The sequence below is a fragment of the Homo sapiens genome, chromosome 18 (assembly GCF_000001405.40).
Source record: "Homo sapiens chromosome 18, GRCh38.p14 Primary Assembly".
Classification (NCBI taxonomy): Eukaryota; Metazoa; Chordata; class Mammalia; order Primates; family Hominidae; genus Homo; species Homo sapiens.
Genome location: NC_000018.10, coordinates 57,352,277 through 57,376,597, shown reverse-complemented (window position 1 = coordinate 57,376,597; position 24,321 = coordinate 57,352,277). Strand labels below are relative to the sequence as shown.

Genomic DNA, 24,321 nt, shown 5'->3' with positions numbered 1-24,321 from the left:
TTGCAAGGTACACAGCAGAAATCTAAAGCAAGATGAGCTAAAGTCCGAAGAAGCAACAAATACAAGGAATGCCATCCATGGTGGGGACTTTAGGGCAGGGTGGGAGAATAATTCCACCTCAGGAGGAGGGAATAGGAGAGGGGAATGCAAGCCTATCTGGAGGGGAGGTCAGGTCTGTAGCTGGATACCAATAGGTTAAATTGGGGCAGTTTCTATATGCACACCATCCTTCGGTCATATTTGTTTTTGAAAGCTTAAGGTCTAAGGTATTGTATTAATCTGGATAAGCTAAGTTATGCTTTGATAATAAATTAATCCCCAAATCTCAATGGTTTAACAGCAGAAATTCATGTGGCTGACTTAAACACCACTAGAAATGCAAAATCATGAATGTGTTTTTGAAGATGCATTTTTGTCTGTGACGTTATCAGGAATCTGCCCACTCCAGCTTCTTGCCTCTCTTTCTACAGATACTTTCTCCCTACCTACAGGGACTCAGTTAATTTCTCTTTTAATTTTTCTTTCTTCATCACCATGCTACTTCCTATTTTATCCCTTGGGCTTCTTTATGTCCCCAAACTGGCAGCAGAGGAGGCTAGATTTCTAGTTCCCAGCTCCTGGGATTATTCTCATAATTGTCTGATTGCCCTCCCTAAATAGGCTTGGTTATTGGGGTGCTGTGGGCTTGGTCAGTCATTCCCAAGGGCCTGGCTTAGGTTTGGGGGCACCATAATAAGCCTGAGATTGTGGCTTGTGCATCTCAAGAGTGATCTTGGTTACAAAACAAGGCGAAATCTGGAGTTGGAGTTACATCCATACAGGGGCAGCAGAGAAGGGGGCACCAAGCTGGGAGCTAAGTGAGAGGGAACTTTAGGGTCTATGTGTGAGGAAGGTTAGTGTAGGCAGAAAGAAATAAATAGAAGAGGATTTTCCTGAAGCAGCATCCTGGGACCATCCATGTCTTAGTCCATTTGAGTGGCCATAACAAATACAGTACACTGGTTGGCTTATAAACAATAGAAATTTATTTCTCACTGTTTTGGAGGCTGGGAAGTTCAAGATCAAGGCGCTGGCAGAGTTGGTGTCTGGTGAGGGCCCACTTCTTGGTATGCAGATGGCACCTTCTCTCTGTGCTTTCCCATGGTGGAAGGGGCAAGACACTCTCTGGGGTCCCTTTTATAAAGGCACTCGTCCCATCCATGAGGTCTCTACCTTCATGATCTAATCACCTCCCAAAGTCCCCATCTCCTAATACTATCACCTTGGGGCTTAAGATTTCAACATATGCATTGGGGTGGGGAGCACCAACATTCAGACCATAACAGACCACGGTTTTTTTTGTTTTTGTTTTTGTTTTTTTTTTTTGAGACAGTCTTGCTCTATCACCCAGGCTGGAGTGCAATGGCGTGATCTCGACTCACTGCAACCTCCACCTCCCAGGTTCAAGCAATTCTCCTGCCTCAGCCTCCCAAGTAGCTGGGATTACAGGCACCCACCACTGCACCTGGCTAATTTTTGTGTTTTTAGTAGAGACAGGGTTTCACCATGTTGGCTAAGGCTTGTCTCGAACTCCTGACCTCGTGATCCGCCTGCCTTGGCCTCCCAAAGTGCTGGGATTACAGGCGTAAGCCACCGTGCCCGGCCCATAACAGGCTACTTAAAGGGGCTGTCAGAGAGGAAACTCTACCTGCAACATGGAAACAGTCTAGGTATTCATCAATAAGGAACACAGGGAATTACAAAGAGCTAAGAGAATGATCTTTTGTCCCTGGTTTGTAGTTCATGATTCTCTTCTTTAGATAACATCCAGATCAACCCAACCCTTCTCCTTTTGTACCAAAGATTCACTGAACTTACCCTCTTCCATCATTGCTTCTCCCTCCCCTAGTGTTTCCTGGATCCATCACATGGAAATACTTTCTGCTAGGGCTGGATTAAAGAATGAGAACAAATAAGCTGTGTAGTGGTCCCTGGCACAAGAGGATAATTCCCTGGTCTAGACACCCAGATTGGGGGTATGTGATGTGGTGTGCCTCCAATCTGGATACTCTAGGCTATCTGCAGGAAAGATCAGTTAGGCCATGTCCTCTTAGAAGTCTTCACATTACATATACTTTTGTCTCCAAAGGATGAAGGATCCAAGCAGCCATTCTGGTATTGACATACTTGAAGGCAGAAAATTTTCTTTTTCCTGTTTCATTTTGAAGAACATAGTACTTCCAAAAGGAGGAAACAAGTCTTGTGGACACTTTAGTTTCTGATTTCCTGTTGAATTCTGACTTTTCTCTCCTTTAAGTCATTTAATCAGCTACTGTTTCTATTTTCTACACGTTGTTAAAGATAGTTTCAATGTGTTCCATTTCTGAGAAAAATATTTCCGACTAAATTTCCACCTTAGTTCCCAATAGGTTTTGTTTGCTGATTAGGTCACAAAGGTTTCTGGAAGCTAAATCAGACATATTAGTGTTTGTGACTAAAGTTGTTTAAATCTATATCTATATATCTGTGATATCTGCTGCAAAGATGAGAATGAGTTTTAAATTGATCTTTAAGGTGTTGAATAACTGTGTCCACTGAAACATTTTAGACATTTTTCTGAACTTATCACTTCATGTCATAGGTTGATCAACTTTCATATTTTCTCTATCCATGTTTTTTTTTTTTCATTGTGGTGCATGCAGCCCAGCTGGAAAACTCATATGAGATCAATATCCTTGGCTCTGAGCATGTCTTTGGTGTGGGACATAAATTCTTATATATTAGGAACATCTTTAGAATTTGTTGATCTTGGAGGTGGTGTTTGCTTTGTTTTTGAATCTGTTGTTGGAAGCGCATATATTTACTGTCTAATACATTGGAAAGTTTTATAAAATATAATTTGAGGACATAACTTCCATCACCCAATAATGCTGTTGGACTTTTGCAAGGTAGATTTGTTACCTCTGAAGGGGACCAGTCACATCTAGAGTACATCTGAGTCTGTGTGTCACTGAATTGTGTTCCCTGAGCTCTACTCTGTGAATCCTTGAGTTATTTGGTGGAGGGGTCCTGCTGTAAATGGATGTAGTGAGTTGAATTGTGACCCCAAAAAGATTATGTCCACCTGGACATTCAGAATGTTTTCCAGAGGGAAGGGTCTCTGCAGATGTAATTAAAGTAAGAATCTTGAAATGAGATCATCTTGGATTTGCGTGGGCACTAAATTCTTAGAAGAGAAGGGGAGCAGACACAGACACACAGAAAACCCTTGTGAAGATGGAGGCATAGACTGGAGTTATGCTTCTAAAAACCAAGGAATGACAAGGGTTTGGCAGCTTCCAAAAGCAAGGGAAAAGCATGAATTGCATTCTTTCTCAGCGCTTCCAAAGGGAATCAATTTTGCTGACATGCTGATTTCAAACTTCTGGCCTCCAGAACCTCAAGGGAATAAATTTCTATTGTTCTAAGACACTAAGTCAGGCCTGGCGCAGTGGCTCACGCCTATAATTCCACACTTTGGGAGGCCAAGGTGGGAGGATTGCTTGAGCCCAGGAGTTTGAGACCAGTCTGGGCAACATGGTGAGACCCTGTCTCTACAAAATATAACAAATTAGCCAGCCCTGGTGGTGCAAGCCTGTGGTCCCAGCTACTCGGGAGGCTGAGGTGGGTGGATCACTTGAGCCTGGGAAGTTGAGGCTGCAGTGAACTGTGATCACACCACTGCACTCCAGCCTAGGCCACACAGCAAGACCCTGTTTTAAAATAAATAAATAAATAAATAAATAAATAAATAAGGACCCAAGCCTGCAGTAATTAATTATGGCCACCCTGGGAGACTAATACGATGAAGGTCAAATGAAATATTTTATATACAGTAAGGAGCTTGTTTCTTAAAGCAGGGGTTGGCAAACTGTGGTCCCATGGGCTAGATCTGGCGGCTGCCTGTTTTTGTAAATAAAGTTTTATTGGAACACAGCCATGCTCATCCATTTATATATCATCTATGGCTGCTTTTGTGCTGCAACAGTGGAGCTGAGGAGTTACAACAGAAGCCATAAGGCCAACGAAGATAAATATATTTACGATTTTTTTTTTCCCCTGAGACAGAGTCTCGCTCTATCGCCCAGGCTGGAGTGCAGTGGCGCAATTTCGGCTCACTGCAAGCTCCGCCTCCCGGGTTCACGCCATTCTCCTGCCTCGGTCTCCCGAGTAGCTGGGACTGCAGGTGCCTGCCACCATGCCCGGCTAATTTTTTTATATTTTCAGTAGAGACTGGGTTTCACCGTGTTAGCCAGGATGGTCTCGATCTCCTGACCTCGTGATCTGCCTGCATTGGCCTCCCAAAGTTCTGGGATTACAGGTGTGAGCCACCGCGCCCGGCCATATTTACAATTTTTTAGTTGGGCAGAAATACGGATTTACTTAAGAGAGCGATAGTGGTAGATAGGGAAGCCTGTGGTGACTGCTTTGGCTACCTTTAATAATATCTGCTTTGAAAATCTGTATGTTCATAGTTTGAATTTGCTTAAAGCAAATTCACATCTCTCCTATAGAAATGGAGATATTGATTAAAAGAGGTTCAACAAAAACAACTGATCTATAGGATTTGTGTAGCCTCAGGTAGATTGTTTAGTTCAACCTCCTCATTTTGACTTCTTGGGCTTAATGTGAATTGGAAGCATTATTAGGTTGGTAGGATTGAGTAAGCAATAAACATACTCTCAGAATAAGGAAAAGAGCTATCTATCATTGTATTGAAGGTCCATCTCTTCCAGATGGTCCTGGGTGCTTCTTATTTGATTAATAATGATAATGCAATTGCATAGGCTTTCTGTCTTGAGTGTGTGAAGTTCTCCCAGATTCTAAACAAGAGATGTGGTAACTGAATTGAAGAAGCACACAACAATAGCTTATTTATTTTCCTTATTTAGTACACAATAATGCATAATCCTTCTGTTGAGGAAGTCTTCCTTAATGATGATGCATGTTTTTCTCCTAACTTGTTGGTAAGTTTTCTAGGAAAATAAAGATTTAGAAATTTGGTCATTGAGTTTTTTCTCAAATATTCCTGAAAAAGAGTCCTCTTACAAAAATTGTTCATACCTCTTGAAAATCCACTTCAAGGGATTTATCTAAGGAAATAATCAAACATTTAATTCCAAAGATGTTCATCAGAGCACTGTTTACAGCAATGTAAAGTTGCAAAGAACCTACATTTAAAACAATAAGAGGTTAAATAAGTTATAGTGCTTTCATGTTCTGAGTTTATCATAGAATATTTAATGACATGGAACGATGCTGTTGATATAATTTTAAGTGAGAAAAAACTAGAAAACACAATAGTATGTATTGTACAGAACAAATACACACTCAGAAAAAACAGATGAAAGGTTTAGGTCTTTTAAAAATATTCTTTTGCTTATCTCATTTTCCAACTTTTTTGATGAATAGTTTAGTAATAATAAAAATAAGTTAATTTAAGTGAAATGAGCAGACTGCCATTTTAAATACTTTTATTTAGAGTTGAGAATTTGTAGTTGATATAAAAAAGAACTTTCTTTTTCTTTCTTTAAAAATTGATAAGGTACTTAAACTATTGCTCACTAGGAGAGCGTATCTGAATAAGTCACTTTCTCTTCCCAAGCCTCAGTTTCTTCATCTGGAAATGAGAGCATTGAATTGACTGAATCTCTAAGTTTCTGATCAGCTCTGCCATTCTGAGCAGTATGAGTTAATGTTCAGAGCAGCATATTCCTTGAGCCAACCTCACTTACCAAGAATTGCACACTCAAAACGGGGAATGATTCTGGAGCTGAGGCTGATACCAGCCACCCCTGGACCCTCAACCTGTGTGGGAACCTAGTCCGAGGGCGAACTCACACTCTTGCTTAGATGGAATCAGAAGGCCAGCATCTTTACTGGCCTGGGAGCCTTGGGCTAGGTTGGATCTTCTATGAGGAGGGATTCTCTCTCTTTCTATCTCTTTTAAAAAAATTCTTCCTTGTCTTAAGCTATGGTAATGTATTTTCTTAGAAAAAAAATTTCTACTTTAAAATTTTAATTGGTACTAATCAGCCTCAGGCAGAGAGCCTGCAATAAACTTGGTGTCAATTTCGTGTTTTGCTGAAGTTTGTGAAGTGTTTTGTTTTGTTTCAGAACTTACCATTTGCGTGTGTGTGTGTGTGTGTGTGTGTGTGTGTGTGTGTGTGTGTGTGTGTATTTGCCAGGGATCATCAGCTGGGCAAATAGTTTTCAGAAAATATAAGCCCTGAGCATTACATTTGACCACTAAAATTTTTGTTGTCTTCACTCAAATTTAATGGGGTCAGGGGGTCATCTTTTTCTTTCTGTCTCTCTCTTTCTCCTTATAAGACATACACCTGTAGTATGTTGCACCATTTCCCCAAGAAGATTTTTTAAGTTCCTTCGGATAAGCATTGTGATTTTGCTAATTTCGTATCCTGTTCATATCTTGCCCAGTGTTATGTGCAGCGAACAGTAAGGATTTTAGGTTTGAATTAAAGACCCACAGGCCCTCTCAGGTGTCTACTGAAGGTGGCATGCTTTCAATCATGCTGTATTTTTTTACCCAACTTGAGTTTCTCCTTTTGCTGGAAATTGAAATCAACCAGGAACAAGAACAGGATGTGTTTTTGTGCATTGATATGCTGAGACATTTTTGACACTGGAGCACAGATATTGAGAAAAATAATTCCTAGGACTATTCGTTCATTCCTTGAGTCCATAAATGCTTACTGAGTTTTGTTCACAATGCTGTCTGAGGCAGCACAGTTAGAGAAAAGCTAAGACTTTTGGTGTCTGTGGTGTGGGTACAAAGATGGGAAGGATGATGAGAAACAGTTGAAGTGTTACACAGACTCCATGGTGCACCTGTTCATCCATTTATCCATCTGTCCATCTCTCCTTTCCCCCATCTGCCCATTCATTCATCCATCTATTCATCCTATAAATATCAATTGAGAGTCTACTTAGCTCATAGCACTGTTCTAGGCATCGGGGGTGTAGTGGGAATAGACAGGCAACGTTTCCTGCTTTGTTGAAGGTAGAGCTTATAATATAGTGGATGACACAGATCAACAATGAGTAAACAAGTTAATAGTACCATTAAAAAATGATATGAAGAAAACCAGCACAGGGAAAGGGGATAGAGGCTGACTGTAGCAGTTGGGGAAGGTTCTATGAGGAGGTGATCTAGAGAGAGCCTGGGATGGGGTGAAAGGTACAGAGGAAGGAGAACTGGACAGGGAGTCAGGCTGAGTTCTCATTTTGACTTGTCACTTAACTGCACAGCAGGGACAACTCCCTCAGCATCTCTCCCTCACCTGATTATTCATTAAATAAAATGATGTATGTAATAGTAACTTTCAAGAGTAATGTATTATTATTAATAATGTTAAGGCCTGTCACATGATTAGCATTTAAAGGACCAATGGAAAAGTTATGTGTAGGGACTTTGAGTATTTCCTGCTTGTTCATGGCTGTAGACAGCCAAGCTCACCCTTTCTGGGGTCCTACAAATTTCCAACGACCTCAAAACACTGAGAATATAAAACAGGAGGAAGCATTCAATCTCTTCACTGGATGAAATGTGAGTATGTGTTAGCACATGTATGTGTGTGTATGTGTGTGTGGGGGCTCTCCCGAATGTGACAGACAACCAGCAGTGTTTCCCAAAGCAAAACGAAATGGTTTATTTAAAAACAACGCATTCAGTACTGTGTTTGGAACACAAGGCAATGAGGCAGGCACATTCACACTTAACAAGTACATTTGAGGAGCTGTCGAAGCAAATGGTTGCATTTTCTTCACAAACTACAGTCACAATATACACGCAATTGCCTCTGTCCTTGTTCACCAAGAAAGCAGAAGATATTTACAAGTTCCTCAGTCTAGCAGTGCTGGCTTCTCTTGGGTCTCTGTGGCCCTCACATTCTGGCAGCTTGTTTCCAAGGGCAGGCGAGGCTGCCTGTCACAAGGGAGGTCAGTCTGATTTGTTAAGGCCCTCGGCTTCTTCCAAAGAGCAAGAGAACTTCTGACAGAGTTGGGAAAGAGGGAAGTTTTCAATACCAGTATCTCAGCATAAAATGGCACTTTCCAAAACAAATGCATCAAGTGTTGAGTGACGGGGTGAGCGGGCAGGGAATCACGGTATTAACAATATAAGAAGCATTTATTTTCCCTGACACATACTTCTTGCTCATTTATTTAATAACTTACATTCGCTATTCTTCTACTTTTTGACCTTTTGGTTTCATCATTACTCTTAAAGAGCTTTGCTCCTCCTTCTATACTGATACACTATTCTTTAAAATGCTGAAATGCAATGGTGAAATCAAAGTATGTTAAGCGAGAGAAGATATCACAAACATTCTTTTGTCTTGACTTCTAATTAATGCTTTCACAATTAATTGTCAATGTCCATCTAACTAATGGAAGCAGCACAGTGTGGTGTAGCAGAATCAGTGGTTGGGAGACCCAGACTCTAATTCCAGTTAGCTAGCTGGGCAAATAAGTCACTCCAACTTTCTGAACCTCAGTTGTCTCATCTCCACATGGAGGATGTTGATCTGGAATCCTGACTTGAGATAACATCTAGATCTGTAAAGTTTTGCTATGGACTTAGGTGGTTGTCCCATGTGAGTAAATGATAGTGTATTGCGATGTTTCCATACATTTGTTTTGTGTCCTGGGAGAATTTCAGTGCTAACTAATGATGCTTGGTGACCGGATCTCAGCCTGTTACTCAACTCCTCCCAGGGCTCTTGGCTGTAAGCGCTCTTGTGCTTTTCTGCACAGTATGGGTTCAGATCTGGATCTTGAAATATGGCTAAAGAGCACTTCTAACATGGGGTACAGTTATTCTCCATATTAAAAAATGGTCTAGATTCCTTCAGAGGGAAACCTCCCTCTTCTTTTTGCAAGTACTTCAATGACTTTATTCCACTTATGCAGGTTGACCAAACCTCTTTCCCATTGTCTGCCAATTTTTCTTCCCTGCCAATTTTCTTCCCTAAGACTAAAAATGCTATGGGAGTGGCTGGTTCCTCAAGAATGGTTTTCTGGTGAATTTGTTCATAATAAAACAAGGCCTACCTGTCAAGCCCCTTGTGCTTGTAGCTGTGGACTTCTCTGTTTGGTGTCAGGAAAAGAGCCAGAGGGTGAAGGCATACTTGTGCTCAGGCTGCATGCAATGTATTGGGAATACAGACATCTGAACATGCACCTGACTCATTTAAAATAAAATGTAGCTTGCTCAATGTAGAGAAACAAGCTCATTTCAATGACCATTAGGAAGAAAGAAAATAGAGGTATAACCTGGCATTTTACACATAGTATAGAAAATGTCCAACTTGCGTTTCAAGCATTTACAGTTTAGAAATGCCTTACAGAACCTGTAGGGTATTTTATTATAGCAACGGAAGTAGATTTGGTCCTTCATGATCTAATTTTGATTTAGTACATGCAGATAACAACTTACGGCCACTCACTGTGTCCTAGGAATTAGGCATATTTTTTCCCAGCATTGCCTCTCCAAAGATTTAATGAAGCCCACCTAAGAATGACTTCTACCAGAAAAATTTGCAATTTGCAAACAAAGCTTGTTCTGTGGATTACCAGATTACCTGATTTCTAAACACTCAGTTGGAAGTACACTCACAACTAGTGGTGAGAAAGGACAGTTGCTCTATTGCTCAATGCCAGGGGACTGCAGGGGCCAAATGTGTATTAGTAGATTTTTGTTTTTCATGGTCCAGCCTTACATCACATGACACCTTATCCTACAAAGTTTGCCCAGTCAGCAATGAAGTTGCCCAGAGATATTCCTACCAAGTGGTATTTCTTCACCGTTGGAAACTTTTCTAAGGGCAAATCAACTCCAGTTGAGTGCAACTTAAACTCTCAGCGTGATGTTTACTGGGTGTCCCCTGGTGGGGTAGAGACCTTGGAACCTCAGTGCCTTTCCAGATATGTAGAGCCAAGTGAGCTTACTGGGTGCCTTGTTCTTCCCCTGCTCCTTTGCAGGCACTGTTTTGTGGGTACCTGTATTTTTTTTATTGTGTCAGAAGGATGAGGGGCAAGTGGATAGGGAAAATGACAAAGTTGGGGAAACAAGTGATGAACTATAGGTATAGATTTTTTAAAAAAGATCAGCCAAACATGGTTTTAACTGGTAGTTAAATTAAAGAATGTTTTCCTGGAGGGTCACCCTTAGAAATTAGAAAAGCCACAGTTGGTAATCTCCCAAGATACTGGGGAGTCTGTTGAGAGGTTCCTAAGAGTCACGTGGAATATTTGAACACCTTGGGATCCAATAATATGCTCTTTTACTAAAAATCAGTAAAACTAACCAACATGGAAATGCTTCCCTTGGTGGAGGGGACATTTAAAAGTCCCTCCAAAGCCTCTGCTAGCCTCTCCTATTTGGTACTCACTGACTTAAAAATTGTTCAGGCAGTGCTATGCTGGAGCTGGCTCATGCTGTATTGGAGCCAACTTATACTGGCTCTTGAAAACATATTGTTGTGTTTTCAGCTGGTTGACATTAAGTTAGTAGCCTGAAATTGGCTGAGATGAGAGTATTTACACCATAGAAATTGGTAGGTGCTAAAAATCTGGGTTCCACTGTTTTCCAGAGCCAGTTGTTAAACATTTGGCAGCACACCAAAGAGCTAAAACTGTCTGAGAATCACACAGAAGGAAAATCAAAGGAACCCTTTGGTATCACTGTTGTCTAAAGCCTTTCTATGTGCACAGCTATAGAAAGAAGTCTGGCCAAAGCTTCATTAGGACGGTGGCACATTATCCAACAGAGGTGGTACAAGGCCACAAGTAATAACTGATCACCCTTGTTATACTGGGTTAGTCTTAGAACTGGAGCCTCCTGAATTTCCTTTTTTGATTGGTTTTATTTTAGCCTGAATACCTTTGTGTTTTGGAGACTACCTGAGGTTGATAAATCAGACCCCTTAGATAAATATTTTAGGCTCTGGGAATGACTTCCAAATTGAATCTGAATGAATCACTTCAGTTCCCTGTTTCTCATTCTCACCAATTCTAAAGATGAGTGACCTGAGATCTGCCTCTTAGTTTGAAATATAAAGAGGGAAATATGAAGAGCTGGCCTTGAGACAAAGTGTATATTAAAGCTTGCTCTCCACCTTGTCTTTGGGCTTGCATCCATTCTGACTAAATTGATCAGTTACAATTTGCTTATAAATTAGCAACTGGTCAATTCGGCTGAAACAGCTGAATTGTTGAATCACTAAGACTGTGTCTATATTGCCATTTAACATGATAACCTCAACGAACATGTGAAACTAATCGCACAAGGAGAGATAAGCATTTAGCTACTTTGTTCAAAATGGTATATATGACTCCGGATGTATATATTACTGGTTTCCAAATGGTGGTCACACGAATCACCTGGGAATCTTTGTAAGTTGGACTTATCCCAGGACATTATGAATCAAAGGTCCAGAATGAGTGGCAAGAATTGTATTTTGAAGAGTTGCTTATTTCATACAGCTGTGTTTGCTGGGAGATCAGCTGCATAATCCGGGTCCTAACCCCAGAACCCCAGGGTAACCTTAAACTGAAGTCAGTTACTCTGCAACAACTCTTCACTCTGATGCCACTGTCATCAACAACAAGAGAATAGGCTTCACTGAGGAACATCTATTCATACACATATGTCTTCAATCAGTCATCACAATAAAAATAAATTTTCAGAAATACTGCATAAGATGACAATATATAATACAATAATGACATTCTAAAGTGTTTCCCATTTCAAATGCTGTTATCTATGTGGCAAAGCAATCGGAGTGTGAGAGAGGCATAATGAATCATTTTGATGCTTAGTACCAACTGATCTGTGGCCTCGATTAATTGGGCCACAGAGTCCAGACAGGTCAATCAGCTGGCCAAGGTGCCCTCAATCCCCAGCACCCAGAGTGCTCTATCTGGGCTGCCAGCCACAAACACACAGCCCCTTTGTAAGCAAAGTGACAGTTCTACACATTCAGGGAGAAGCAGAGGCTTAAACAGAAACTTGTGCCTAGTGCATTCAAACAATTATGGGAAAAAAGGTTTTAAGAATCTAGAATTATACAGAAAATTGCTCAGTTTGTCATTTTGCACATGAAGACTCACGAAGTTATTATTATTTGTATATCTTCTTAGCATATTGAACCAAACACAATATTTCAAAGTCTGCTGTTGAGATTACCTATAAAATAGAAGGCATTTCTTAACTCAAGGGACCCCGATGAAAGTTGTATATATATGGAGAAGAACACAACAATTTTCAGCCTTCAACTTCTAAATTATGCATGTATATTACTAAAACAAGGTTTTACTAAGATGAATAGCTTATTGGGTAAGATTGCAGCTGTCAAGCATGAACCACCAGTAACTTAATTGTTATTTATCAAATCATGATTTACCAAGCGTGTTTTGTTTCATCTCAGGGAGAAGGTAGGTGATAATTGGTGGACAGTTGCATACCCACACAAGCATCTCCTTTATTGTTCTGTGTTGGGAAGTCATTTTTGGGAGGGAGAGGAGAACCTTTTTTCCTCTTTTATAGACTTTCTAACTTATTTTATGTGCTCTGCAGATCCCAGACCAAAAACCACTTTCCCTGTGAGCCCAGCTTCATTTGATGCTGGTAAGACCAAGAAGTACTAGAGGAGGAATCATAATTTCTCCACTAATTGACAGTGTCATCTGGGGCAAATCACCTAGCCTCCCTGTTTCTCCATTTTCTCATTTGTAAAGTCAAGAATCAAGACTGGCGAAGCTGAAGGCCTCTTCATTTCCAGTGTCCTAGCATTCTACAATATTGTCCCTGCTTCCTTTGATCTCAGGTCAATACCGCTTTGTTGTCTGAGAGTGTCTAATAATTAGTGCCTTGACTCAAATCAGAAAAAACGTTCTCCCATTCCTTGGCTTCCCCACCAAATTAGGTTTCTCTTGGCACTCACATTCACGGATAAGTAGTGGCTCGGGCATAAGGAAGCTGAGGGCAGGGGCAGCGGTTCTTCCTTTGCACATCCTTGCTGGTAGCCCCATGGCCAGGTACCTGACATCAAGGTCACAGACAGATGGCACAGTAGTCATAGTCAGCACTGCCAGGCACACAACACTACTAAACATACAGCACTTTTACAATATTCACAGACACTTAAGACACAGACACAAGGTGGAGAAATGATAGATATTTTAATAATCAAATATTGGAAAGAATTTTTGGGGTGTGGGAGGAATTCTTGACACCACCATTTAGCCCTGTCTCCCTTGGATCTGCATCTGCATATGACACTCAGAATAACCAGTGAAAACAGAGCGTCTAGCATTAAGCAGGTTGCCAAAAGTTTGTGATTATTTCCCCCCTCTGCAACTTAATTGGTTTTTTGTGTTGGTGTTATGGGTAGAAAGCCTTGGGGGCTTTATGGTAAAATGTATTCCAATAGCTGAAAGTGGACTCTGTTGTGAGTATCCTAAAAAAGGGAAAGTGTCTGACAAAAGGATAAATTAGTCTAGAACTAACAAAGCAAGGTCAATGCAAAAGCCAGGGCATGTGTCTGTAGCTGAAAGAGGAGGAAAGAGCCAATGGTCCTGAGCTGATTACTGCCCAGTTCACTGCACTTGACTACACAAGCCTGGGAGCTGCAGGAGAGCCAGCTGCCTTTCTAATTAGGACACTTGGGACACAACAACTTTTTTGGTCATAAAAGTGGTTGTATAGATTTAATCTTTGAAACAGTCTTTAAAAACAAACAGAGATTTTGCATGGTCAGCTAGAAGCTGCTATTCTTCAAAAGTGAAGGGTGATCTATTGGGATCATCTCCAGGAAGTCCTCCTTATAAGCAGAGATGAGCCTGATCTCTAAACCCCTCAAGTTCTGAAGAAAAGTCCATTTCCTCACTATTTTGAGTTTTCATTAAAGTGATAGATAACACGGTGGTGGGGGATGGGAAAGTCCTCCCACTCTAAGGTTAAGATGGAGCCAAGACTGCAAGGAGATTTAAAAAATCTCCCTGAACTTAAAAAACAAACAAAAATCCTTGGCATTATGATGAGATAAAATTTAAATTGTCCACTACAGAACAGTAAACTGTTTTTTAGAGATTCTGGTCTTTTCCTCTTTTAATCTTCTTGGTTTAAAGTGTCTATGCATTTATATTTAGTGAAAATGAATGGGCACATTGGGATTAAAACTCCAGAGTCAGAATCTGGCCCAAGTAATATTGGCATTAATATCACTTAGCTATAACCAAATGAACTAAGTGCTCAGGAACAGCCAACTAAACACTTCTGTCAGTTGTCAATCTCTCAGTGATCCCAACAGAGCACAGTGTGAGGATGGTAGTACAGTCCTCTTCAAAGGGACAGGGAACAAACACGGTGTGGTTGTGATACCCATCAAATTATACCACTGAATTACAAAATGTTTTTAATGTCTCCCCTTATAATTATATTGTAATGTGTGTCATAATTGGTAACACATTTGAACTTGGTGTTTCTTTCATTAGTTAATATCTAGATCTATGCAAGTTGCTCTAATTAGATTGCTTTCTGAAAATAATAATAAGGCAGGTTTAGGACCAGGCAGAACGTGAGCATAACGATAGTGTCTTTCCTTACCATATTCGGTTTAATTTTAGGCATGATCTTACCTTCCTAAAGAGGGGCAATGAGCTCATCACTGAACTACAGCACATTTTTTAAACAGTTATTTGTCGCATTGCAAGCAATCTAGATGAGATTTCAGGAAAAGAATGAGCTACCCCACTCAAATGCATAACAAATATGCTTGACTGGCATTTGGAAAGAAGAAAGAAACTCTTATTAAAATTTAACATCAACTTGGCCAGACGTTGGGCTGAATTGGAAGAACAAAGTGCTGCTCAGTAAAAAGCCAGGGATGGGAATGATTTGATTTCTACTCATATGGCTGAAATAAAGAAAATGAGAATGGCCAGCTACTTCCTTCATCGCAGGTCTACATAATCTTGGATTCCAACTCTTGCCACTGCACAATGGCTTTTTCTTTTGAAATGCTTAATTTGTAGTTGTATAGATCTGACTTCAGTGGAAAGAGGGAATATCCAGTGCTACAATGTTCTCAAAGAGAGCAAATGGTTCTGGATTGGTGGTGGTGCACACAATGATACGGAAAACGATCGCACCTCAGCACTAGTCACCTGGGCACCTGGCCTGGCCAAGATCCTCCTCCACTTTAACCCAGCTGGAATGGGTAACATGGTTACCACACTTTAGGGTACACAGGATTCCATAACAACTTCTAAATATTCTTCTTCCTTTTCCTTTGTGTGTCCCAGGGTCTTAAGCTGATTCATTGCCTCTATATTCTGAGAGAACACCCAGCCTAGTGCATGGGTTGGGATTATGGGAGACACTAAATTTAGGCTGGAATGGCCTTACAGATGTGGCCACAGTGCTATTATTTGCCATAACAATGCCTACATCAAGAGACGCAATGCTATCCACAACATAGGCTTTCTTTGTGATCATGAAAGATGCACTGCCTTATATCCCACTCACCACAGAGGGACCATCTTGCTGTAGAATGACTGAATGGACTGGTGAGGACTGCATCAGAGGCATTTCTTTAAAAAAGGAATCACAAGGGAGTCCATCGTGATTTGCCTATTTTGTCATGAAGCATCAAAGTTACCCAGAACCTTAAACACATCAAGTACAAATGCAACATATACAAGCAAAGCGAATTCAATAGGATTCCTAGCAAATTATTAAACTCCACGGTGGTAGGGCAGGGAGTAGTTGCAGAGGGAAGGAGTGAGATGGTGATAGAGATGGAGATAGGGAGATAGATAGAAGATGAGATATGCAAACCAGTTTTTTACGTTTCCATTTTTCAGAGTCTGATCCCACCAGCAAAACAGGTCCTGCCCCAGTTGGCCAGAGGCCTCTGATTATGAGGACTATCTGAGCAGAGCTGCAGAAACTATAGCTCTAGTCCTCATAAAAATGAGAGGCAGTTTATTATTAAAATCCAAACATGAAAATACTTCAAACCATTTCGTTAGCAGCATAGTCCCAAATGCAACATTCCCTTTATCAATCAAGTCTAAACCATGTGGCTTCAATGCATCTGTCCTGCTAAATCTGCTAAAACTCTTAAAAGAGCAGTGCAAAAGAGAAAAGACATCTTTCCTTTTAAATGGCAGACAATCCTTATAAGACATTCTCTAGGGTTCTATTCTGAAGGCTATTCAATTTGATTTGGGGCACTTTTTAAACAGCCATTTGGCGCTTTCCGTTTGGAGTTCTTAGGCACAGTGTGACAGAGTCAGCTTGGTGAGCCCTTCCCCATGCATTCGGTACAGCAGCTGAAACTCAGCAGGCAGCTGGTGGGACTCCTGCCACTTGGTGGTAAATTTGGTTCCTTTTTTGTCATAGTAATGGTATGGAAGATCTTCCCTTGTGTTGGGGTCAAATCCAAACGGCCAAAATCCATACAAGTGGATCTCTTCACATATTGCTGATGCAAGGGTGTACATAAGAATACCTGTGCTCAGCCGTTTAGGTGACAAATGTTTGTTTTTCCAGTACCTGTGGAACAATAAGTACATTTGGATTCAGAGGTCAGCGTTGAAAGTTTCAATCAGCAAGGTCTATCTGACTGGGCTGGGTAGTGGATTTGTTACTGTAACTTAAATAGTGCTTGTTTTGAAATTATATTTTAGGCAACCAAAAACAACTTCTGGGCACAACTGGTTACATAATTTGTGAGATCCAGTAAGAAATAAAAATGTGGAGTCTTGGTTCAAAAAGTATTGAAAATTTCGAGTGCAAGAGCAAAGTATTAAACCAAGTGTTGGGCCCTTCTGAGCATGGGATTTCCTGGGATCACACTGTTTGCACACCTTTGAAGCTGGCCTTTGAAGCTGCCCCTGGGTTTTTCTAAAGAGTGGTGTGGCTCTGACCCAGCGGTGACACAACAGAAGGCCACCAAAAAGAATGACTGTGCTTTTCTTACATAAAGTGTTCTTGGATAGGGTGAAGGAGGTCATTTAATCTAAGGGAAACTCCTCCGTCTCTTCCTTTCTCAAACCTAGAAATAAACCCTTCATTCGGGGTTTAGAAAGATTGTGGAGCCTTATTTTTCTTCTCTCTTGCAAATAATTGTATTCCTTGCTTCTTTCTCTTCTAACTAGGGGTTCCCAAGCCCATCTTCAGCATGCCACAATCTGGCATGCTAAATTTTTTAAATTCAGAAAGTGTGTAAGATACATTAAGTGTAAATAATAAATTATAGTTATTAGTCCTTCCATATTTAAATAATATTAATACTCTGAAGCCTTCCTGCTGACACCGCCAAATATTTGAGGCTTCTATGTGGTGTGTGTATTTATCATTGGAGATGCAGGCAGAATGAAACTGTGCATTAGTCAGGTTTCTGTGGACTGTATTTCCTTCCCGTTTTCATTGAACCCATGTATTTTTTTGAGGCCCGAGTGGCTAAGAAACATTATGATTAACTCCACTTTTGTGGCAGGCAGCCACACAGGATAGTTTCTGGAAGTTTCTAAGCACATGCAGTTTCTTCTTCACTACTTGAAGATTTCAAAGGTGAACCTTTCCCCTTCCAAATGAAATTTAAAAGTTCAGTCTTGGTTTTACTATTCCTGTCTAAGGAACTAGAATGACTCTGACAACCCTTTCGGTATAGACAAACTTAAATTGAACAAAAGGGGAGCAAAATAAGGAGATCAAAAGACCATGGGACAGGTTGGCAGGAGACCTGACTTCTAACTCTAGTCTTGCTCATTTAGGGCAGTGACTTTGGGTAAATAACTTCTGCTCCTTGTACCTCAGTTGATTCATCTTTAAACTTAGGAGCTGGGCTACATCACCACTTAAAAAGGTGACCATATATCCTGGGGAACTGGGACAGTCCCAGTTTGTCAGTTATCTGTGTTGTAATTATTAATAGCACCCTCTTTCTCTCAAAGAAAATGTTCCAGTTTGGACTGTAAATTATGGCATCACTCTACCCTCTACCATTGAGATACAAACCAGTTTATTAGGCTGTAATTCCTCCTCCTATGAGAGGTCAACTAAACAGATCTTACATCTTAAGAGGCTACGGGATGGGAAAAATCTATTGTGGAATAAAGATCTTCAGAATTCCCTGTTTACCAGGTCTCCAGAACCCACCCCAACTTATAATAATATTTAGGGCTATGTTAGGACACTGAGGCTACTTACATAGGGGAAACTGAAGTTGAGATAATTTTCTCCAGATGATTTAAAAGAAAAAAAATCTACAATTAATCTTGTTTTATAAAATGCCCTGGACTAGTGGTTCTCAATTCTGACTGCATATTGGAATCATCAGGAGAGTTGTTAAAAAATACCAAGTACCTGGCCTCCACCTCCCTGCCCACCAGATAATTTACATTAGGATCTCTTGAGGCAGAGCCTAGACAATAGTATTTTTAAAGCTCTCAAGTGATTCTAATATACAACCAGAGTTGAAAATCACCAGACTAGAAGAAAATATTGCATCTCTGGCTAATCTGTCTATCAAATCCCAAGAGATAACAACATGCTCATAAAATACTTTCTTCATGTTTTTGCACTCAAATATCAGATTATAAAGGCAGATTGTGCAATTTATGATTTAGGTGTTTTGCTAACCTTGGACATCTACAAAACATAAATTTAAGTCAACTGCATCGTTTCTAAAAAGAAAAACCACTTGATTTGTCTCTAATTTAGCCATTGGCATTCTTGGAATATAGCTATCTATTTAAAGAAAATTCTTGATTTGTGGTGATTTCCATGACTGCTCCATAGCCTTACTACCAAGGGAGAGGACAGAGAATAGAGACGGGAGACTGATGAAGCCCCAATCCTTCCATCTGACACTTGGTTACCAGCTGTGGGTAGATGGAACTTCTTAGCTAGAATGATTCATTCATTCGCTCATTACAAAACATATGAGTTTCTTCTAATTACTACTAAACTCACCACAACAACTAATGAATTGGATGGCTCCCACCCCCAAGAGATTACAACATTGATTTGCCATCTGGTGGAGTATGAGTAAAATGTAATAAAATATACACACCTGTTGACATGTTGCATTATATTTCCCGGCCAAGCCAGTTGGACTTTTAACTGACCTCTGTGTTCAACAAAAAAGTCAACTAATGTCCTGGTCACAGTTGCTGAAGTGTGGAAGAAAAATGCAGGGATCCAAAGAATGGCCCCGTCAAGCTTTTTTAAACTGAGGAAAAAGTTGTTACGGTCCTGAATAGTCAAGAGATTGTTGTAATATTTTTCCAGGATGCTGGGGTTGAAGGTGGTAAGATTGGTTTTTCTTCCAACATCTCTTTGGAAAGCCTCCGTAGGGGCGAAATTGCAACGGAAAACAAAATCTGATTTATCTATTTCTTGTCCACACTGGCTCCCTGTCAGGATCCCACTATTTCCAACCACAGCACAAATATTATAATGCTTGTTCATAATGGGTGACACATCTGGAAGAAGTGACCGGAAGTTATTGCTAATAGAGAAAACATATTTATGGCTGGAATAATCATAGTGCATCAGTTGTCCAATCCGAACACTATTCTTGGTCAAAGAAAAATTTTTTATTACATCGACATGCTGAAGAATTTCTTGCCTAAAATAAAAAGAAATTCATGAAAAGCATTCCATTCAGAAGAACTGATTTTCCATCTTATGACTTATGCTGACATTTCATTCAGAGGGAATCTTAGGCTCATTGAATCCAAAAAAGATTATACATACATAATTGTGGTCCTTGAAGGGAGGACTGCTTCAGAATCTCCGCATATTCTAATCTTTCAGTCAATTTCTGGGTGTATTCTTTGAGGCTTGTAAATGCAACTTACAGTTTTAGCTGCCATACCTTGGTTTTCTGCTCTACGTGAAGAGTGTATCTTATTTGATCAGCAGGGAGGTATAGGGCAAATTGTGTCAGAAAATACAGGGAGACAATTTACACAGGCCTGAAAGAGCTCACATTAATGCACAAACATTAGTAACACATAGTTTGTAACTAGGGTCTACTTGTTTGCTACTGGACTGAAGTGCTCAAAGAATATCAAATATCAGTGGTGTCCAAATAAGAGCCAAATAGATATGAGTCAGTACAGCACTATCTATTATTAAAATATGAAGATGGTAATAGCAGTGGGTGTAGCTGAATATTTAATAGAAATGAGATGATAATCTCATTAAGGTCCTTTGAATAATGAAACAGGGAGTTTTTTCTACTTGATTATATAGAAACACAATTTAGTTGAATAAATCTAATCCTTAGAAAACATGGCTATTATAAATCCTGAAAATATTTCCATATTCTAGCAATTCAGTACATAAACAAGGCAAGACTGATACTTAGAACTAATTTCACGTTGCTTTCATATTGAGCTTTAAGTAAAATTAAGTATCTCTTCTTAAAGTTTAGCTATTTAAAACATTCAAGAGAGACTGGTAACATGCTACTGCTGCTAGATTCTCCGATGTTAAGTAAACCCAGTGAATTTCTTATAACTTTTGCCTAAATGTAGCAGGAATGAAATGAAATGCTTTGCACATCATCCGTTGCTTGGAATTTTAATTTAAAAATGACTTCATTCTTCAAAATAGAGGCAACAGCAACTGAAATCTTTGAAACTCCCCAAGTTACCAGTACCACTCTTACAAGTTGTTAAAAAGGTAAGGCAGATTTAAAATGCTACTGGTAAAAATTTAATGAAAGATTATCTAATTAATTAAAATGAGCGAAGTTTTGAGAAGGAAATATTCTTCTGACTGGTCATTTGGGTCACATGGCCTAGTGTGGGAAGAATATTTTTTATTGAGTTAGAAACATGTTTTGGGGAAAGCTAGAATGTGTTCTACCCATGAAAACGTTCTGGGTTGTCCATAAAATTAATATTGAATTAAAACCCAATTATTAAAAAAACACTTCTAGAGTTTTAGAATTGATCAATTTTCATGAACTAATTTATAATTAAACATAAGTGTTTTTAAAATGTTAATCATATGACTGTATGCTGACTTTTCATCTGAACAGTATTTTCATGAGACCATGAATACCCACTGAATTTGTTTTAATTCTGCCCATAGATTAAACTTTTAAAAGAGAGAGAGAGCAATAACTAGAAATGCTAAGATCAAAACACAACTCCCTAAATAGAGTGGTTTGTAAAATAAGTATTCACACTTCTAATGAATACGCTAGATGGCTCACATCCCATTTAGCAGTAAAATAATCCCACCATGAAGGAAGGAGTAATGAGTTATCGTGGTTTGCTAAGAGTAGACCAGAATCACTGAGCAGAATAAATACATTTGAACAAATCTCATCCTTCTTCCACCTAAAAAAACAAAACCTCAAAACCATCTTATGTGTATAAAATGAAACCGCTACAATTAGTAGGAATTAAGTTAGGTACCTTTACAGTAAGTTAAAAGCTGTAAAGACAATGAAAACAGGCAAAACCAAAACAAAACCATAGTTAAATATCTACATACATTTGGGCCAGCATTTTCACGAGTAATTTGATGGAGACAGATTATGGCATTTTCCGTGTGTTTCAAAGAAACAATACCACTTTATTCTATTTTTCAAGTTTTTTTCAGTGAGGAAATGAAAATGCATTGGGTGGTCTTTTTGCAACTAACCTTTTGTCTGTTTTTTTTTTTTAAATAGATGGCTTTGGCAGTACTTGCCAGACTTGTTAGCTGTAAATCATGGTGCTCAATCAAGCCCAAGTGGAATGCTTTTTTTTTTTTTTGCTATTCAAATTGGTCCTGATATGTCCTTTTTATGAGAGGACACTACACACACAGGAGAAGGTTCCTGATCATTGCTTTGTGCAGTCATGCCAAGAAAACAATGCAGATACACCTGATGGTGAGGGTGGGGCGTATAGATGTTTGTTGTTTTAGATGTTTTTGTTTGCTTGTTTTTGTTTTGTTTTGTTTTGAGCTCTTGAATTCTTAAAAGCACCTTTTGGATCTTTTCCTCCTATCCTACCTTTGATGTAAAAACGCTGTCCGATTAAATTTCCACTTAGAAGGTTTCTCTTGGAGTTCCTGGGTGAGAGAATTCGTAATGGGCACGAATGACGGGTCTAGAAACTTCAGCGCAAATTGTGACCTGGAGAGGAGCATGAGCACAGACAAGCGTGCTGGCCTCAGCTCGGGGAAGCCGAGGTAGCCATTAAAGTGCAGCGGCTGGGGCGAGGGCGGCTGGTACGCGTGCGGGCTCCGTTCCGTCCCGGAGCCCCTCTCATTTGGTCCACCCTCTGCTCCCACACACACCCGAGAGAAAAAAAGAAAACTAGGGAACCCCATCTGCATTGTCCATCCCTCCGGGTGCCGGAGAGACCATAAAATGGCCGTCATGCGGAGAGCAGGGCGCACGCCGGGCGCAGGGCTGGAGCCCGCGGCGCTGCGAGGACCAGGGAATCAGCACCGCGGACAGCGGCCGCCCCGCCAGCCTGACCCGCTACGCCTTTGCAGCCCCATAGAATTGTTTTTGGAGAAAGGGCAGAGGAAACCGGAGACCCAGGGAAAGTCTGGGGGTGGTTCCTGCCTTAACCTCTTCCTTCCCAAACCCACGTCCGATTTCACTTCCTATAACTTGGCTGGGGACCCCCGGGGGCCGCCGGCCTACTCCGCTCCTCGGTCCAGGCGAGGCTCCTCTGGGTTCCTCGCCTCGGTCCCAGCTTGGACCACAGGTGGCACTTTGTAGTTGCCACCTGCCCGTCAGGAGGCCCTGCTGGGAGAGTTCCCGGGGTCACAGAGCGGGGCGGGGGCTCTCGCAGAGCGGCGTCAAGCTGCGCCTGGAGCCTTCACAGGCCGGCCCAGCGCGGAGCGGTGACTCCGACCTGGCGAGGGTGGGCGGCCCTTCCGAGGCTCGCTTCCCGCAGGGGGCGGGGGAATTGCAGAAATCCCGGAAAGCTGGTGGGGGGCGGTGGCTGCGGGGGAAAGGGTTGAGAGAGAACGCCCCAGGGGCTTCCTGAGAATAAACCCGCGTGTCCTTTGATAGGCGTGGGGGAGTAAAGGAGGAGGGCGCGAGGGGAGTCCGGCGCCTGCGCCATTAAACCGCCAGCACCGCCCCGGGCCCGGCCCGCGGAGTCTGCGGACAGGGCGCGGGGAGGGCGCTCCCCTCACGCCTGTCCATCTCTGCTCGCCGCCCCCTCCCGAACAAACACACCGTCTTTCCCTCCACCCTCACCCTCCTGAAAGCCTCCCCCAACCCCCATTTCTGAAATGAGGGAAGGGATGCTGAGGAAGAATACGAGAAATGCAATCACATCGATTTGGACAGCGGCTTCTAGGGGCTTTGGGTTAAAAAAAAAATAACAGGGAGGGGGAAGGGAGAATTAGAGAGAGGAGTGGAAGGACCGCGCAGTTATCTGGCCCAAAGAGTCTCGGAGAGGCCAAAACACCCCTCCCCCACGCCTTCCCTTCCCCAAACACCCCATCAACCAAATTCCCGAGGGCACTAACACAGAGGCCCGCACTCACCGGAATCCCGCGTGGAACATGTACATTCGGGGCGCCCCCGGGCTGGCGTACTTGGGAGTGGTGAAGATGTTCTCCTTTTTCAGGGACACGTAGCTGATGAGCGATAAAATCAGCAGGGCGACGCTGAGCATGACCAGCCCCAGCACACTGGCGACCCGGGCCATTTTGCAGTTTCTCATCCCGGGCTGGGCTGGGTTCAGGGAAACCGGGGAAATCGGTCCATTGAGCGGCCAGCAGCTCGCTGGCGTGTATATATGTGTGTGTGTGTGTGTGTGTGTGTGTGTGTGTGTGTGAGCGCGCGCGCGTGTGGCGGAGGAGGGGGACCCGGGCGGGGGTGGGGGGAGGCCACCGGGGCCGGGGGTTGGGGCTGGCAGGAGCCCCGGAGAGCAGCGGGACCCCGTAGGCAGGGGCGCGCGGGGCCCGGTGCCGAGCAGGAAGATGGAGGGGCTGCGCGGCGGCGTGGCGAAGGAGCGCGCAGCGCCGTGCGTCCCCGGCCGCCGGCTCAGGCTCCCCCGCGCGTTTCCAGCGAGGCTGCCATCTCCTCCGCCGCCTGCAAGATAAATGTGATTGGAATAATGTTACAGTTCGATCTAAGCACAGGATTTAATTAATGAACTCTAATCTCCCAAATAACCGGGGGGAGGGGGTGCAGGAGAGGGAGGGAGTAGAGGGAAATGGTGGAGGGAGGGGGACTGAGGCTGCCAGGCTGCAGCCCGAGCCTACGGCCTCCCCGGCTGAGGGTGCCGGCG

The 24,321-nt window shown here is 41.8% G+C and overlaps 1 protein-coding gene across 1 annotated transcript; it reads right to left on the bottom strand.

Annotated features, from left to right (window-relative positions):
- Positions 1-7,666: 7,666 nt before the first annotated feature.
- On the bottom strand, positions 7,667-24,041 carry ST8SIA3 (ST8 alpha-N-acetyl-neuraminide alpha-2,8-sialyltransferase 3). The gene is made up of 4 exons (NM_015879.3): positions 23,573-24,041; positions 22,074-22,196; positions 19,128-19,685; positions 7,667-16,603 (listed from the first exon to the last, which is right to left on the bottom strand). Exons 1-4 carry the CDS (start codon positions 23,749-23,751, stop codon positions 16,321-16,323), a joined length of 1,143 nt encoding a protein of 380 aa, NP_056963.2. The 5' UTR covers positions 23,752-24,041; the 3' UTR covers positions 7,667-16,320.
- Between the last annotated feature and the right edge of the window lie 280 nt (positions 24,042-24,321).

Coding starts and splice junctions, on each gene's coding strand:
- ST8SIA3 (NM_015879.3), bottom strand. CDS start 23,751: ATGAGAAACTGCAAAATGGCCCGGGTCGCCAGTGTGCTGGGGCTGGTC. Junction 19,686..22,073: donor ACAGCGTTTTTACATCAAAG/GTAGGATAGGAG, acceptor TTTTTATTTTAG/GCAAGAAATTCTTCAGCATG. Junction 16,604..19,127: donor ATAATGCAACATGTCAACAG/GTGTGTATATTT, acceptor ATTGTTCCACAG/GTACTGGAAAAACAAACATT.